General features: G+C 35.4%; 1 protein-coding gene across 8 annotated transcripts in view, besides 1 other annotated feature; it reads right to left on the bottom strand.

Moving 5' to 3' along the window:
* GRIK2 (glutamate ionotropic receptor kainate type subunit 2) overlaps window positions 1–18,209 on the bottom strand; it is a 676,376-nt gene that overhangs the window by 311,221 nt on the left and 346,946 nt on the right. The window lies entirely within an intron of this gene.
* Window positions 17,000–17,535: an enhancer, noted in NCBI's record as "OCT4-NANOG hESC enhancer chr6:102189203-102189738 (GRCh37/hg19 assembly coordinates)". NCBI's record gives its function as "activates a minimal SCP1, AML or CMV promoter by ChIP-STARR-seq in naive H9 embryonic stem cells {active_cell/tissue: H9 hESC(naive)}" and the evidence as "EXISTENCE:reporter gene assay evidence [ECO:0000049][PMID:30033119]".

Raw genomic sequence — 18,209 nt, 5'->3', positions numbered from 1 at the left:
TATTTTGTCTCCAAAAAGCTTTCCTATGTAAGACAATTATTTCCAAAGAATGAATTAAGAATAAATAGCTTTTCAAAAAAAGAATGATTCCCCCAGTTTATCACGTAATAAAATCTATTACCCCTGAAATCATTTCACTTAATTCTCACTTGCTCTTATATCCCATGCTCTATTCTGCTGAGTGAAATTTAATAAATCTCTCAGTTCAGGATTAAATTTTACTGTTTTATGAACTGTTAAATTACATTGTATTCTTATTAAAACTGGTGTTCTTTCACTCATAGACACATTCCCAACTGTACCCTGGGGCACAATTAAACAAACAGCAGAGATTTTGCTTTCAACATTGGAGTATCTTCCAACAGGGAGCAATGGATGAACACCAGCAAGTTATTTAACTATAAACAATGTGCACTTAATAATCCACATATGCTTTGAATTACATAAACTATATTTTAAGGAGGATAATATATCAAATGGATAATAATCCCCACATCATGCATTCTGGCTTAGTTATAGCAAGATAAGTACTGAAATACACTGAAAAAAATATTAAAATGCTTTAACTCATCATTTATACACTATACTTTATACTCAACCTACCTTCATTCATTTATTTATTTAATTTTTAATTTATTTTAAGGCAGGGCCTCATTCTGTTGCCCAGGCTAGAGTGCAGTGGTACAATCTTGGCTCAATGCAACCTCCCTCTCCCAGGCTCAAGCAACCCTCCCACCTCAGCCTCCCAAGTAGCTGGGACTAGAGGTGCTCACCATCACACCAGGCTAGTATTTTTTGTAAAGTTGGGATTTCACCATGTTGTCCATGCTGGTCTCAAAATTCCTGGACTCAAGCAATCTTCCTGCCTCAGCCTCCCAAAGTGCTGGTATTGTAGGCTTGTGCCATTGCACCCAGTTGTGATTATTTCTTAATGCCAAAAATAAAGCTAGCATTTATAATTCAGATATCAATTCTAAGCAGAAAAAAACTACTAAAATGGACAGACTGAAGTAAGTAAAAGACAAAACATTAGAGAAATTGCTTTTTTAAAAGAAATGAAGAAAATGTTATTTTCCATTTGCAGACCACTAGGGTAGACTTTTCAAACTGTACCTGGAAGGATCTCAATTCCATTAACACAGGATCTCCATGCCTGGATTTATGAAAGAGAGGCCTTAGTAACTCAGTTTGTGAAATTACTCATGTAGGAAGCCAGACTTTATTGTTTGAAGCTGGACTCTATGTCCTTAGGCGAATCGCTCATCCCCTTTGAACCTCAGTATACCAATCTATGAAATAGAATGATAATTGTATTTATCTCATCTGCATGTTGAGAAAAGAAGTTAAATGTATTCCCACTGTAAACTTTTAAATGAAATAATGCATGTAGAGTGCTTCACTAGACTAAACATCCAGGAAAACATAGTTATTATTATCACTATGTATAATTGTCCAATTTTGTTTACATTTTAATAATTTAACATATTCATGATTTTTCTTCCTTACTATATTGTTTTCCATGAAGAACTGAACTTTTAAATTTAAACTGAACTTAAAAATTTAAATACATTAGGTACTGTATAAATATTAATTGATTTATTTGTAAAATGGTTGCCTAAACCCCAATCCTCATGTTTAAAAATATTTTTCTTTTGATAGATAATGTAACAAGTGGCTCTAATATTCACCAGTTCAAAGGCCACAAAGCATAATAATCCAATAATATAATATCAATGAGAGGGCATATATTTTCTTTTCTCATTCCATGCTAACCATATATGTCCCATTTAAAGCTATTTAAAGCAAGATTTTTCTGGAACGTGAATCTCAACCACTAGAGTTTTTACAAAGTAATTACTTACAAGTTTCAGAAGGTCGCTTTTCAAAATTAAATGCATATCTAATAAGATGTCTTTGCTTTTAAGAATATCCATTTGATTTAGGAAGTGTGAGGATTAATTCTTAGTAAGTGCAATAGCAAAAAATGCCAAATTTTTTATCAAACTTCATGAAAATTGAATAAATTCATAAATATTGACTGGCAGACAAGACAACTCTGTATTTTAAACTAGTACATTAAAGCCTACTTGTCTAAGAAGTTGTAGTACTCTTGTATTTGCAGTTAATTCAACACCAAAAATAAATCTTATTTTTAATTTCAAATGGTCATTTAAAGAAATTATTTTCAGAGAGCGCTTGAATGTTTATTTTTATACCAAGCCCTTATAAACTTGTCCTTTATGAAGAGTTTATGGCAACCTTCAAAATGACGTTTAGTAGAACAGCCTCTGAGATTCATGATTGGCATGAAGGCTTTGCTTAGGAGAAAACGTATCTTTTAAACAGTGTTGGAATAAAATGTTTAAATGTTGTAAATGTAACCATTTATAAATGTAGATATTTCAGATTATTTTCAGATTATAAATGTAACCATTTATAAATGTAGATTATAAATGTAACCATTTATAAATGTAGATTATAAATGTAGATAAGAAACTTAATTTTCTAAGATACATTATCCAGATTCTGTTTAGGACAGTGGAGGGAAAGCCATGACTTAAACTTTGTTCTTTCTCCCTTGGTTCTTATTACTCCCTTTTGTTCTTGTGTGTGTTTGTTCTTGACTCTAATTTGTTTTCTAAATATCCCAGTGCCTCCCTCAGTTTAATTAATTTTCTAACTACTCCCTTAGGGAAACTTACCTCTTCTGCTCATCTTGTCTGAAACTGTGCAGCAGCAGCACTAACAAGGAATGGCATCATGTTGGCTTCAGATGTTATTAAACAACACAAAACCTGGGGGGGAGGGAGTTTTATACCACCTATAAAAGTCCTCTAGTATAAAACCTTTCTAATGAAGTGCCCACATGCCCACTCTTAACAGAAAGTATTCCTTATAAACATTTTCCCCCAGGAGTTAAAGTCTTGGCGTTCAACAACTAATTGAAAAAACACAATTTCCATTATAATAATGTTTCATAAAATTGCTTTCCTAGGATGAAATGCACTATATAAATCAGTTCTGTCAATAAACTAGACACATCTGTAAGAGAATAATATATTTCACAATATTTAGTTACCACTTTGTCATATTGTATTAATGTTACTATAGTGCTGCATCTGATACTGCTCTGTTCCAAATGTCAAAAACTTATCATACACACTTAGTAGATACACTTTTAAATTAGGTTTTTATTAGTGTGTGGTCTGATTTCTCATGTATCTGACGAGCTAAGGCAGATAACACACTAGTTTATCTGGAAGATGGAACTCATTTTCTCCCATTATATCTCCATGAGGAAAAATCTTCTCGAAAACTCTCTAGAGTCTAGACTAGGTAGAAAAGATTTTGAACTCATATAATATGGCTAGGAGTGAATTTAGAAATGATTTATGCGGCCGGGCACGGTGGCTCATGCCTATAATCCCAGCACTTTGGGAGGCCGAGGCAGGCGGATCACAAGGTCAGGAGATCAAGACCATCCTGGCTTAACATGGTGAAACCCCATCTCTACTAAAAATACAAAAAATCAGCTGGGCGTGGTGGCGGGCGCCTGTAGTCCCAGCCACTCGGGAGGCTGATGCAGGAGAATGGCGTGAACCCGGGAAGCGGAGCTTGCAGTGAGTCGAGATCGTGCCACTGCACTCCAGACTGGATGACAGAGCAAGACTCCGTCTCAAAAAAAAAAAAAAAAAAAAAAACCAAAAAGAAAAAAGAAAAGAAATGATTTATGCTAATCCTGTCATAAGGGACAGTGAGTTTAAGTGACTTGTTTTCATGTCTTTTCTTCTTGTTCCTTGCTTTCAGGATCAACCTGTTGGTGTCGGCCATTGGCCACAATTCAAGCAGAGTTAATTTTAAAAGGCTTCAAGAGTGCCTACATCGCTGAAAGGATCAAGTTCATATTCTCCCATGTGGATTATGAGGCCCTTCATAGTCCAGCCTCTTTTCATCTGTCTTTGTTTACATTCCGCTATCCCTTACTCCTCTGATTCCCATGATCCATCCATACCGAGTAACATTTCATTTCCTCACAGGAGCCAGGTTTTCTTACCTCTGAGCCATTGCACATATCGTTTCTGCTATCTGGATCACTCATCCCTCGTTCCCATAATCCAGTTCCTAGTTAGCATAGGCTGCACCTCCCTGATCATCCAGGATTTGAGTAAGGAGCCTCAGCTATGTGCTAACCTAGTACCCTGTCCTCCTTCACATAGCACTCATCACATTTTATGGATAGTAATTGCATGTGTGTCTATTTCCCTCGTGAGACTGAATGTTCTGTGGGGAAAAGGATTATAGCTCTTTTGGTTACATTTACATTATGATTGGTTAGCATAGGTCTACTGTAGGGTAAACACTTACAAAATATTAAGTAGATAATTGAAATGCCCCAAATCAGACAGCTACGTAAGACAGAAAATCTGAACTAGAATCCAGAACCCATATCCTAAATCATTTTACTGTCTCCTACAACATAATAGCTTTGTTTCCTTAAGCAACTTTGAGATAGAACAATCTAATTATGCACAAACATATCTCAGGCACATATTGCCTTTCAAAAGAGATTTACTTTGATACAAATTAAGATACCTTTTGGAATAAGATTGTGTTTAACATTTGTAAAAGCTAATTACATCATATGAATACTTTTACAACTAAGTCTTGAATTCTGAAAATACATAATAAAAGAAGATAAATCAATCACTTTACCAACATAAATTTTATGTAATCAATACTATATACTTATAGGAGAAGAAGTTATCTAAGAAATATTGTGATATTTCTTCTCCAGCAACTATTAATTGGATATTTTCTTCCATTTTTATTAAAAAAAGTAATTTATCTTTATACTTCATCCCATAGCTAAATCTATGTAAATTACAATATTGGATAGCTTCAATTAATTCAAAAACATTAATTAAAAGTTTTAAATGTAATATGTGGAACAGTCTTAAAAATTAATATAATTTTAATTAACAAATTATTGTATCCAGTAACATAAGACTGTATTTCAATTGATTTTATTTGTACTATTATTTTAATATATTCTATGCTACAAATATTTTATATTACTATACACAGTAGAAAACCCCAGCAATGCCTTATTAATATGTTGGAAAACTATCAATTATCATGCAGCAAAAATAGAAGACCCACATTTTCACTAATATTCTGTTCCTTTTTTTTCTTTTTTTGTCATATTAATATTAATATAAAACCTAACTGGTTAGTAATTATTGATGTTCAAAGAGTCCTTTAAAAGTAAAGACATAGAAATAAAATGAGTGTTCTTAAGTATATCTGGAAACAGTTAGTTACCTTTCATGGATTGTATTCATAATTACGTATCTAGTTCATTTTCCCCACAAAGACTTCATACTCTCCATAACTTACAATGCATCAGATTATATTGTGAGTTTAAATTCTAGATCTTAAGAAAGAACAAAATGATTTCTTCCTTTAAAATGCCCTTGCTTCTTAGGAAATCTTATTATATTCATAGGAATATTGCAGCAAAAGTGTTTTGGAAGTTGGACATGGTGATCGTGTTATTTTCTTTTTTTTTTTTTTTTTTTTGAGACGGAGTCTCGCTCTGCCGCCCAGGCTGGAGTGCAGTGGCAAGATCTCGGCTTACTGCAAGCTCCGCCTCCCAGGTTCACGCCATTCTCCTGCCTCAGCCTCTCCAAGTAGCTGGGACTACAGGCGCCCGCCACCACGCCAGGCTAATTTTTTGTATTTTTAGTAGAGACTGGGTTTCACCGTGGTCTCGATTTCCTGACCTCGTGATCCTCCCGCCTCGGCCTCCCAAAGTGCTGGGATTACAAGCGTGAGCCACCGCGCCCAGCCCGTCTTATTTTGTCTTGATTTAAAATATTCAGTTTTACCATATTGCAGACCAATAATTCAAAGTTTACCTTCTAATATAAGTTCTTTTGTCAGTTTGTATCATACGTCTAACAATATTTTCTCTTTCGGAGATTTGTGGAAATACATCTACAGTATTTTCAGGATGATATTTTAAAACTACTTAACTTTGTACAAAGCTTTGAATTTACTGTGTACTCTTACATATGCAATATTATTGCTCATATTTATTACAGTTACAACATATGTTCATGTTAGTATTGGTATTCTGAGACTCTTATGTTTGTTTTTGGAATAACGCAAATGACTACATAATATTCTAATTCTACCACTTCTGTTATCACTAAAAACCTAGATTTTTCACTGTCAGGGAAAGGAGATACAGACATAAAATAGAAGATTAAATTATTGTAGTTCTAAATTTGAGTTGGAATTATCAAAATAAACTCTTAATGGGTTTTATAATTTAAAATGAAATGAAATAAAATATTTTCCAGCTTTGTCTACAGAGAAGCCTATGAACTGTGACTAAGTCGAAAGCAATGAGTACCACAGTGCCTGTATTACAGTTTTGATGTAACAATTCCCACCGAAAGAAACCAAGCTACTTTGATAAACTGCTAATTTAGGGCTGGGGCAAAAATATATACAAGATAATTCTGGAAAATCGTGTTAATACTCAACAAAAGACACTATCAATGAGAAACAGGTCAGAGTCAAAATTATTTTGAGGCTCGTTGAGGAGGTTCACAATGACCAAAATAAAATAATTAAAACTCAAAAAGAACAATCATGGAAAAGAATTGAAGCACAATAAATATATTTATTTATAGTTTGTAATGATACAAAAATTAACATATAAGGTGTTGTAAGATGATAAAGAACCAATTTATCATTTTGAAAAGTGGTAAATAAAGGAAAATAAGCATTTATTTTTTTCTTTTCTACATGAAATTGTATGAATGGGAAACTAAATAGTACATAGGGAAGGTTTTTCTTTTAGAAATATTCCAGCTAATAAGTGAGGAGAAAGTGAAAGAAATAGAATCTCCTCATTTAGCCCCTAATGAATTAATAAAGCTAGATAGTGATCATCACTGGTTCCTAACATCACAAGAGACACAAACATTAACAACCTTCTGAGGGAAGAAGACAGTATCATCTATGAAGTAATTTTGCACGAGAACAAACAAACATATCCAACGTTAAGTGTGATTAAGCCTCTAGAACCAACCACCAATTTACAGAAAATATAGAGGACAGATGAACATGTTGAAGATTATCATGGGGTTGCAATCAGCAAAATCCAGATGGTAAAATAATGTCAACCTATTGTAATGGATGGACTTTATTTGAATCCCTATTCCAAAAACCCAATGGTAGGGGGGAAAAAATGAAGTTTGTAAGGCAATTGGAAATTAGATCATTGTATATTTGATGATGTTAAAAAGTTATTAGTTTATTTTAGGTAGTATTCTGGTATTTTGGTTATATATGGTTTTTAAAGCCCATATTTTTAGTAATACAAAACATAATATGTATCAATAAAATGATGTGATGTCTCGGATTTACTATGATATAAAATGGAAAAGTAAAGTGAGAAGGACAAAGAAATAAGATGCCATAGTGAGTTCATAATTTTTGAAACTAGGTAGAATACATGAGGGTTTGTTATTACTATTGTGTCTACTTTTGTACATATTTAAAATTCCCCATAATAAAAAGTAAAAATAAAAAAAAAAGAAATTTAGAAAATAGCTAGGTGTGGTGGCTCATGCCTGAAATCCCAGCACTTTTGGAAGCCAAGGTGAGAGAATCACTTGAGCCCGCAAGTTTGAGACCAGCCTGGATAACATAGTGGGACCCCCATCTCTACAAAAAATTTAGAAGAAATAGATACATAAATAAGAAAAAAGAAATTTAGAAAATAGAGGTGACCTTACAAATTTACAGTTAGTACATGGTAAAAGAGGGTCTCAATGTTTTGCTTCAAAATATAGTACTTTTTTCACTGTACCACAATATCTCACAATGATGAGAGAATTTAAAATTATCTACAAATTAACTGGCAGTATTTTGAACCATTTGCCCTGTTAATTCTAGAAAAGTCATGAAATGTAAGTTAAAAAGCGGTGAATGAAATAGCCAGTGGGCCTGAATGAAAGAACATGGAAAGTCTATTATTCCTCTACCAAGCTCCTGTCCAACTGCAGCTAATCCACAAGGCTTAACCTAACCCTCTATATAGTTACAACCCTTCTCTTTCTCTCTCTCTCTGAGCATTCAGCTACTAACTTTCCCAAATCAAGGAGTCAGAAACTACAGAAAAATAATTGCATAATTCTCCCTGAATGCTTTTTCTTGCTATAGCATTGAGATATTGATAAGTCTTGTTACTATAGCTTGTGCTATAGATATGTGCAATAGGCATGCTGCTTTGTCTGCCATTAATCAGCTAGCCATGGAAGAAATACTAGCTATGCCACTGAGAGGACAAAGGATTCCTCTACAAGGTTTGATGCTTTTATTTACCTTACTATTCCCAATGAGTATGATTGAATGGTTTTCAAACACATTTATCTGGGCCTCGGTGAGAAGGGTAAAATAAAGGAAGCATCATGGACACATCACAAAATCTGGCTCTTCAGAAGGGCAGCAGTATTTATTGTGATTACAGAGAAGGGACTTTGGAGTCTAAGAAACTTATGTTCAAATCCTAGCCCTGTCACTTACCTTCTGTGTAACACTGGCCAACTTGGTCCCTTTAAGCCTCAGTATTCACAAGAGCAAAATGGTAAAAATAATACCTCAACCGGGTAATTATGAAGGCTACATGAGGCAACTTTAGGTACGATATTTATCATAGAAACTGGCACACACTGCTGGGTGCAGTGGCTCATGCCTATAATCCTAGCACCTTGGGAGGCCTAGGCAGAAGGATCACTCAAGGTCAGGAATTCAAGACCAGCCTGGCCAACATGGTGAAACCCTGTCCCTACCAAAAAAAAGTAAAAATTAGCCAGGCATGGTGGCGAACATCTGTAATCCCAGCTACTTGGGAGGCTGAGGCAGGAGAATCAGTTGAACCTGGGAGGCGGAGGTTGAGGTGAGCCGAGATTGAGCCACTGAACTCCAGCCTGGGCATCAGAGTAAGACCCTGTCTCACACAAAAAAAAAAAAAAAAAAAAAAAGAAACTGGCACACACAAGTTTTCAGTAAGCAATAGTTAGCTTGTGTTGCTACTGCTGTTGCTATTAAAAGAAACCAAGAAGTTAGAAATATTGAATAGTTGCCTTGATTTAGGAGTCTTGCTTATTTACCAAAAAGAGAAAATCACTTTTCTCCATACAGGTCATACAGAAGTAAAATGCATAAATTTATGAAAAATGTCCATTTTTTAACCCTCATTGATAGACTACTATCATCATTTTTAGGAAGGAAACGCACATGTCAGGCTTTATTACCAGACCTCAGACCAGGTTTTAGGCCAGGCTCTGGAACTAGGAACTGGATAATGGCTGTGGACAATTTATCTAACTTCTCAGATTTTCAGCTTTAAATTCTGCTTAGCAAAAATAATACTTCTGGCCAGGCGTGGTGGTTCATGCCTGTAATTCCATCAATCTGGGGGGCCGAGACAGATGGATCACTCAAGGTCAGGAGTTCAAGACCAGCCTGGCCAACATGGTGAAATCTTGTGTCTATTAAAAATACAAAAATTATCTAGGCATAGTGGTGGGCACTTGTAATCCCAGTTACTCGGGAGGCTGAGGCCGGAGAATCGCTTGAACCCAGAAGGCAGAGGTTGCAGTGAGCCGAGATCGCACCACTGCACTTCAACCTGGGTGACAGAGGCAGACTCTGTCTCAAAAAATAAATCAATATATAAATAAAATAATACTTCCTTTGTTAAGTGTAAATTTAATAATGTACATAAATTTGTTTTCTTATTCCAGGTGCTTAATAAAAGTTAGTTCCTTTTCTTTGCCCTAATTCAATTCCTTTAAAATAAGAAAGATGAAAAGCCAGATTTAAATTACTGCACTTGTTCTTTCCAAGCAATTGCAAATTTAGTATTTACTGTCAGGCTAAAATGTTGGAGTTTTTCTAAGCCAATGTCTTCTTCCTAGACAAAATAAAATTATCTTTAAAAATGTTTAATATATGTATATATATGTTTTATGATGTAACATGTATAATGAATCAGAACATAATTTGTAAGTCAATACATGTACATATATTTTGAGTGATAGTCAATCAAACTGCTGGAGACAATTGTCCTGGCGAATAGTCTCAGTTTCTTATTCAACATTTTTTCAACAGCTGTAGAGTATCAGATACTGTGATATATACTGGTGATACATAAATCAATAAGCCTGCACTAGCAGGACTCAGAGTCTGGTGGAAAAAGATAAATTTATATAAATATTTATAATGTAAATAATGAATTAAATACTACCTAAATTGAACCATATGTAATTATAAATATCAACCATTTTTTACCAAAAAATGGCAATTTGATATGGTTTAATTAATATACTTAATGTCCTTTTTAATGTCTTTTAGCTGTCCCAGAATTTCCCAACATTAATTTGTCCTTTAATTTAACAAGGATGATTAACTCCCAGAATACAAATTTTATCACTACTAAATAATTTTTATTTAATTATCTGTTTTGTGCTAAATTGATGAAAGGAATTATAGAACCAAATTATGACTGTATTTCATGACTTTCCCTAACAGAGAATGCATCTTAGTCTACTTCATTTCTAACAACCTCCAGAATAAGAAATAGCTTATTCTGACATTTTTATTAATTTGACTGCATGAATATCTTTCAGATATGTACTTTCCATTTTTAACATCATGTTATAACTTAACCCAACCAAGATTGCCCCTTGTTTTACATGGTAGTGACTGCAGTAACATAATTTTGCTTATTTTTACCTAAAATATGAACATTTTCAGGAGAAATTCTAGCAATTGCAATGTCAGTTCCCTTTGGCTGCTATCTCTTTCTGATTTGGCACTATTTGAAATCCTCCTGCAGAGACTCTGGCTGTTGGCCTCTATAGCACACGGCCTGCCAACCACAGAACAAAGTAAGATAAGATTGTTGTGAAATAATACCCAAAGATAAAGTCTGTTTTGCAGTTTTCTCTCTTTCATGAGCTGTGACCTCAAAGATGGCACAGTATGGGATACTCTTTCCCTCTATTTTTATCAATATTTAATTCTTATTTAGTAATTCTGATATAATTTAAGTCATCCAAATAACAATGAATGATGCATCTACCAATATTGTCTATAATGTTGTTATAAAATAGTGCTATTAATCTTTGAATTATTTCAGAAATATATTAATATTGACTCAATAAATTAAGATGTACATATATCTTAATTTTATTACAGATATAAAACATAGAAATTCCAAAACATACAAAAATTCAGATATTAATTACTTAGGATGAAATAACAGTTTATTTTCAGAAAAGAATGAAGGCTATCTAATTGAACAAAGCTAGTCATTCACCAAGGAGAATGAGTAAATTTTATGTAGACTTGACATGGCCAAACAGAAAAGCCATTGCCTTTCTGCAGCATGTATCCAGGACATAATGGAAAAACTGCCAAGCCTTATCACACCTGCTGACAACTATCCATGCCTGCTGATTCATGTGGGTATGAATGATGCCATCATAATACACATGCAAACCATTTTTAGAATTCATGACATCCTAGGCAGAAAGCTAAAGGGTTCCTTTAAAGGGTTCCAAGTGTTAAAATTCTTCCTCCCATTCAATGTGTGATTTAGGAAAGGAAAAATGCTGAGCAGCTGGTTATATAGATGGTGGCAGAATCATGATTTAAGATACCAAACTTGGTGGGGATTTGTGACTTAGAAAGTATTTTCAAAGGGACACGGAAGACTTATTTCTCTGGTGAACTGCTGATCTAATTCAGAAGATTTAAACATAAAATTTATGGGAAAATAAAAATAATATTAAAATGTTAACAAGGGTTATAAAAATATAATAGATATGACACAGATAGAAAAACATTAGGGAATTTCCCAAAGCATTCATAGGAGAACACAACCATATTACAGAAAATACCTTTGTCCTCCCATAACTATATATCAACAAGCGGGGTATTACAATAAAGAATATATGGGTGTGTTTGGGAGTATATATGTGTGTGTGTGTGCATACACATATGCACATATGTATTTACAAAGGGAAACTGAGGGATTCAATATTAGAAAGTGGAAGTGAAAATGTATATCTTAATAGAACAAACAAGTCAATTTGAAGAAGAAAATGGGTAACAAAATCTGTCTTATCCACTGAGACAAAAATTTGAAGGTAGGCCAGGCGCAGTGGCTAACTCCTGTAATCCCAGCACTTTGGGAGGCTGAGGTGAGCTGATTAGTTGAGGTCAGGAGTTCAAGACCAGCCTGGCCAACATGGTGAAACCCTGCCTCTACTAAAAATACAAAAATTAGCCAGGCATGGTGGAACATGCCTGTTATCCCAGCTACTCAGGAGGCTGAGGCAGAAGAATCAATTGAACCCAGGAGGCAGAGGTTGCAGTGAGCCGAGATCATGCCACTGCACTCCAGCCTGGGCAAAAAGTAAGACTCTGTCTCAATAAATAAATAAAATATTTGAAGGTAGCAGGATGTTAACAATAAGACTGGAATCTAAGTTGCACTATTTGTGAGGATGATATACACTACCTGGTTAGATGATTAAAATAGATGACTATTCTGTATTTATACCACCAAATGCTAGAGAGATTAGTTAGACAAATGATAGAAAGGAGACAGAAAAAACAGTACTCAATTCTCCTAGAATTATTATTCAACTAAATAAATTAATTTCTTCACTTGCCTAGCTGGCTGGCAATTTAATGCCTCAGACAACAGAGAAAGCAGTAAAGTTACTTTGGGTCAATAAGGAAAAACTCGTGGTGAAGTTGGAATGATGAGACTCCGCGAAATATAATTTGTTATCTTGACATTCTGAATAATCTTGGGGAAGGGTGGTTAGGAGACGAGAATTGTGGGATATAACCATACATTTAGTTCAAGCTTTAAGTCATATTTCAAAACTTTCAGAAAACAGAAAGACCTAAGATTCTCATATGGTGAAATAGCTCAATCACAAAATATTAAAATGGAGTTATTTAAAAATTGAAGTGTTACAATATTAAATGATCCTGATGAGGAGAGAAACTGGGAAACATCTAAAAATATAGCTGCAGGGAGAGCACCCTGAAGAGCTAAGGTGTTAAAAGAACACTGACAACAGAAAAAGAAAAAATAAACATGGCTAATTTTTTTTCTTAGTTTTAATTTTGTAATGGGCATGAAATTTTGAGACTAGTTGAAAGAAAACTAAATTTTATACTGTGATTTCATATTGCCCATCTATTATTCATACATAAAACGTTTCTCAAAAAATATATATAAAATATTTCTCAATCCATCTCAACGAGAATACCAAAAAGCCTTTATAATATGTATAACTTGGCCAGGTGCTTTTTAAGCAATACATGACTGTATTGGTAATCATCAATAGAATGCCAGGCCCATCATGCTCAGCTGTTTTCTATGAGGGTCTGATCAAAAGTCCAGCCCATGTAACTGATTCTTCATAGAGTACTCAATGTGATGTGAAGGTTATTCATTCTGATATATTCCCTAAAGTGTATAAATCCAAAATTTTGATCTCCAAATCTAGATCAGGTTTATATTTCGCTACCAATAGTTATCCTTTCACTGAATAACAAGTTGATATACCTTCAGCTTTTTATCAAAAATTGAAAAAAACTAAATTACTCCATGAAGAATGTTAAGATCATGTTGTTTATTAATCCTTATGTTAGCATTCATTTAATAAATTTTTTACAACATGAAAAAATATCTTTTCAAATGGACAAATATAATAAATAATTTCCCTTTAGTTATGGGAATTGCCTAAAATACTTTGCTTGCTTTTTGCCTTACCTACAAGGAAGCTTAGAATTAAACAGTGCTCACAATTTGCAGTTGCAAACATATGGAACCAGCCCATATGCCCATCAATCAACAAATGGATTAAGAAACTGTGGGCCAGGTGCAGTGGCTCTTGCCTGTAATCCCAGCACTTTGGGAGGCCAAGGTGGGCGGATTACCTGAGGTCAGGAGTTCGAGACCATCCTGACCAACATAGAGAAACCCCATCTCTACTAAAAATACAAAAAAATTAGCCAGGCATAGTGGTGTGTGCCTGTAATCTCAGCTACTCGGGAGGCTGAGGCAGAAGAATCGCTTGAACCCAGGAGGCAGAGGTTGCAGTGAGCTGAGATCGTGCCATTGCACTCCAGCCTGGGCAACAAGAGTGAAACTCCATCTTAAAAAAAAAAAAAAAGAAAAAGAAAAAGAAATTGTGATATATATATATATATATATATATATATATATATATGCGCGCACGCACACACACACACACACACACACCATGGAATACTACTCAGCCATAATAAAGAATGAAATAATGGCATTCATAGCAACCTGGATGGAATCGTGGAATTGGAGACCATTATTTTAAGTGAAGTAACTCAGAAATGGAAAACCAAACATCGTATATTCTCACTAATATGTGAGAGCTAAGCTATGAAGAGCCAAAGGCATAAGAATGACACATTGGACTTTGGAGACTCAGAGGAAAGGATAGCGGTTGGCAAGGGATAAAAGACTACATATTGCTGGCTGGGCACGACGGCTCATGTCTGTAATCCCAGAACTTTGGGAGGCCGAGGCGGGCGGATCATGAGGTCAGGAGATCGAGAACATCCTGGCCAACATGTTGAAACCCCGTCTCTACTAAAAACACAAAAAATTAGCCGGGCGTGGTGGCGGGCGCCTATAGTCCCAGCTACTCAGGAGGCTGAAGCAGGAGAATGGTGTGAACCTGGGAGGTGGAGCTTTCAGTGAGCCGAGATCATGCCACTGCACTCCAGCCTGGGCAACAGAGTGAGACTCCATCTCAAAATAAAAAAAGACTACATATTGCTACAGTGTACACTTCTCAGGTAATGGATGCACCAAAATCTCAGAAATCACCACTAAAGAACTTGTTCATTTAACTAAATACCACCTGTTCCCAAAAAACCTATTAACGTTTTTTAAAAATTAATAATACTCATATTAAGCAAATATAATGGCTACCTAACACTTGCTTTAAGTATCTGAAATTTTTAATTATTTTTAAAGTAAGAAAAAATATGGAAGTGATAGGACATACTACATAGGGCACTTGTTATCATGAATGAAATTGAGGGTTGATGTTATTTTTAAAGACCAGAAGGAGAATACAAGACCACACAACTCCATTTTGATTACTTTCTCTGTGGTAAGGAGAACAAGGTGTAGATAAAAGACTATGGAAAAAACTATGGAAGGAAGCCTCTAAAGGCCAAGATAAAGAAGCATTAGGAAGACAGCTATTAGCTGGTCTAAATAAGTTTCCATATAGAAGTGAATTGCATCCCAACGTGTTAAGAAATTTTTCATATAAGATGGATTAAACCCTGCTTAAAACAAGGGCTGACCTGATTAGGCCCACCAAACTTAACCCATCTGGCTTGCTTTTAGCTGCTTGCTTCTAGTTGATTTTAAAACTTATATAGCTAAAAGTCACATAGCTAAGCGATATAAACTAAACTTTTCCTAACTTTCTTATAACATCGCTGAGGTGTAGGTCACCATGGTAACGATTGTTTAAGTTGTTTTTCAGGAACTTGGTCAGCTCTTGTCCAATGCAAGCTGGTTGAAACCACTAACCCTCCAGTTGGGCTGGTGTAAATGTCCAATAGGTGACCTTTTGTTGTCCAGGGACTAAAAACTCCACCCTAAAATCATGCTAACAAATACCATTTTGTAAACATGATTCCCGTAAAGAGCCACGAAGCTTGACTATGCTCGTATAGATCGCCAGTTACCTCACTTTTCCTTAATCTCTCTAAACCAAAAATAAAATTCTAATCTCCCCCTGTCAACCATGTGAATGGACTTCGTCCTCAGCCAGGGCTCTTAAAATTTAACCTGAGAGACGGTTTTAGGCCATGATGGGAAGTGGGGGGTCTAGCATGCCTCATTATACCTCTCCGGCATTAACATCAACACAGACTTTAAGTATGATAAAAAACATTTTACAGCCTATTCTCTTTGAAACCTGCTAGCTAAAAGCTTCATCTGCATGGTAAAACTTTGGTCTCTACAACCACTTATCTTAACCCAGATATTCATTTCTATTGATCCCAGGTCTTTAGACAAACTCAGCCAATTGTCAACTAAAAAATGTTTCAATTTATCTATAGCCTGGAAGCCCTTGCCTCAAATTGTCCCGCCTTTCTGGACCAAACCAATGCATTTCTTAAATGTATTTGATTAATGTCTCATGCCTCCTTAAAATGTATAAAACCAAGCTGCACCCCGACCACCTTGAGGACGTGTTCTCAGGACCTCTTAAGGGCTGTGTCATGGGCCACAGTCACTCATATTTGGCTCAGAGTAAATCTCTGCAAATATTTTACAGAGTCTGACTCTTTTTGTTGACACCTCAATCATCTTACCCCACACCTTAGTCCACCCTGATTCTTTATCCCACAAATATCCCTAAACCACATCTTCAGGAGGCAGATTTGAGACCTGTCCTCTCACCTCCTCACCTGGCTGCCTCATGAATAAACTCTTTCTCTGCTGCAAACTTGTCACCTTAGTGATTGGCATACTGCGTAACAGGCACACCAGGCCTGGTTCACTGTCACTGCTAGGAAGCTAAAAACTATTAAAAAGATATACATTTGCTTTTTCCAAAAATAGAAAAAAGTATATTCTGATAATCTTCTTAAGCAGAATTGTATGATAGCTTATTAACCTCAGTAGAAGTCTAAAGAGAGGCTGTTACCACTAGGGCATATTAAGAACAGTGTGGTATAACAGAGTGTTGACCTTGGAGTCAGGTAAACCTGGGCATACTCCCAGCTTTGCTATTTATTAGCTGTTAACTTTGGACACATTACTTGGCCCTGGTAAATAAAACTGGGACATAATGAGCACTCAGTAATGCCATGCTTAAATTATTTGCTTTTTTGGTGTAGTTGTGTGTCATTTTCTCATTTTAAGAGTTATCACATGTAAAGAGATCACGGTTTAGCATAAAGATTATTTTCAAGTGAAAACATTTGAGCTACAGAAAATGAAAAAGAAATCTTATCTGAACATCCCTTATCTGATTAAAGCAGAATGTCCTGAAAATATAGCTCCCATTAACTCCCCTGCAAGGAATTTCCTGTGAATTCAGCTGCCATGGAGACAGGCTTCCTATTCTCATTAGCATCAAAAAGCCCAATAAACTTTCCATACGTTTCCACTGATGCCCTTTTAAAAAAATACATTTTGTTAAAATGGTATATAAAATGTTAATTTTGAGGATTCAGTGAGTTACTCATCACTGAGTACTCCTGAGGGTTTGCAATGTACATATACATAAACACTGTCTTTTATTCTGCTAATCTATCTATCGTCAGTTAACTCTCAGGACCCCAACCATTTGAACCTAAGATCATAGAGGAAAAGTTTCTTCCTAACAGATGAATTCTGCAGACAAGTGTATCTGGATTTCAACAGAGAACTTAAGAAAACTCTAGTAATAGTTGGTCTATTTGAGTGGATTCCTTATTATTGAATATTTGGTAGTTCTTGACCCTATTTCCCATTAGAATCATTTGGTGAATTATTTAAAATTCCAACACTTAGGCCATACCTCAGTCCAAATTATACAGTCAAGGTTGACAACCAGTGTCCTCAGGGAAATTTCCTAGTTGCATACTTGCATGCTTGTGGCTTTCCCTGACCTTGTCCTCCTCAAAGTAGTGGTTGTATTTTATTTGTTTATTGTTTCTGTTTTTTACCTTGAGTGAGAAGCATAAAAGCCAATTAAATTTGCAGATGTCAGGCTGATATAGATTGGATAATTGTCCCCTCAAAAATCTCATGGTGAAATGTGATCCCTAATGTTGGAGTGGGATCTAGTGGGAGGTGTTTGGGTCAGTGGGCAGAACCCTCATGAATGGCTTCGTGCTTTACCCATGCTAATGAGTAAGTTCTTGCTCTATTAGTTAACAGGAGAGCTAGAGGTTAAAAAGAACCTGGCACCACCCCCTCTTGCTTCCTTTCTTGCCAGCCGGCTCCCCTTCCTTTTCTGCCATGATTGAAAGTTTCCAGAGGTCCTCACAAGAAGCAGAGGCTGGCTGGAGCCAAGCTTCTTGTACAGCCTGCAGAACTGTGAACC

The sequence above is a fragment of the Homo sapiens genome, chromosome 6 (assembly GCF_000001405.40).
Source record: "Homo sapiens chromosome 6, GRCh38.p14 Primary Assembly".
Lineage (NCBI taxonomy): Eukaryota > Metazoa > Chordata > Mammalia > Primates > Hominidae > Homo > Homo sapiens.
Note: the sequence above shows the minus strand (reverse complement) of the source record. Positions and strands in the feature narration are given on the sequence as shown.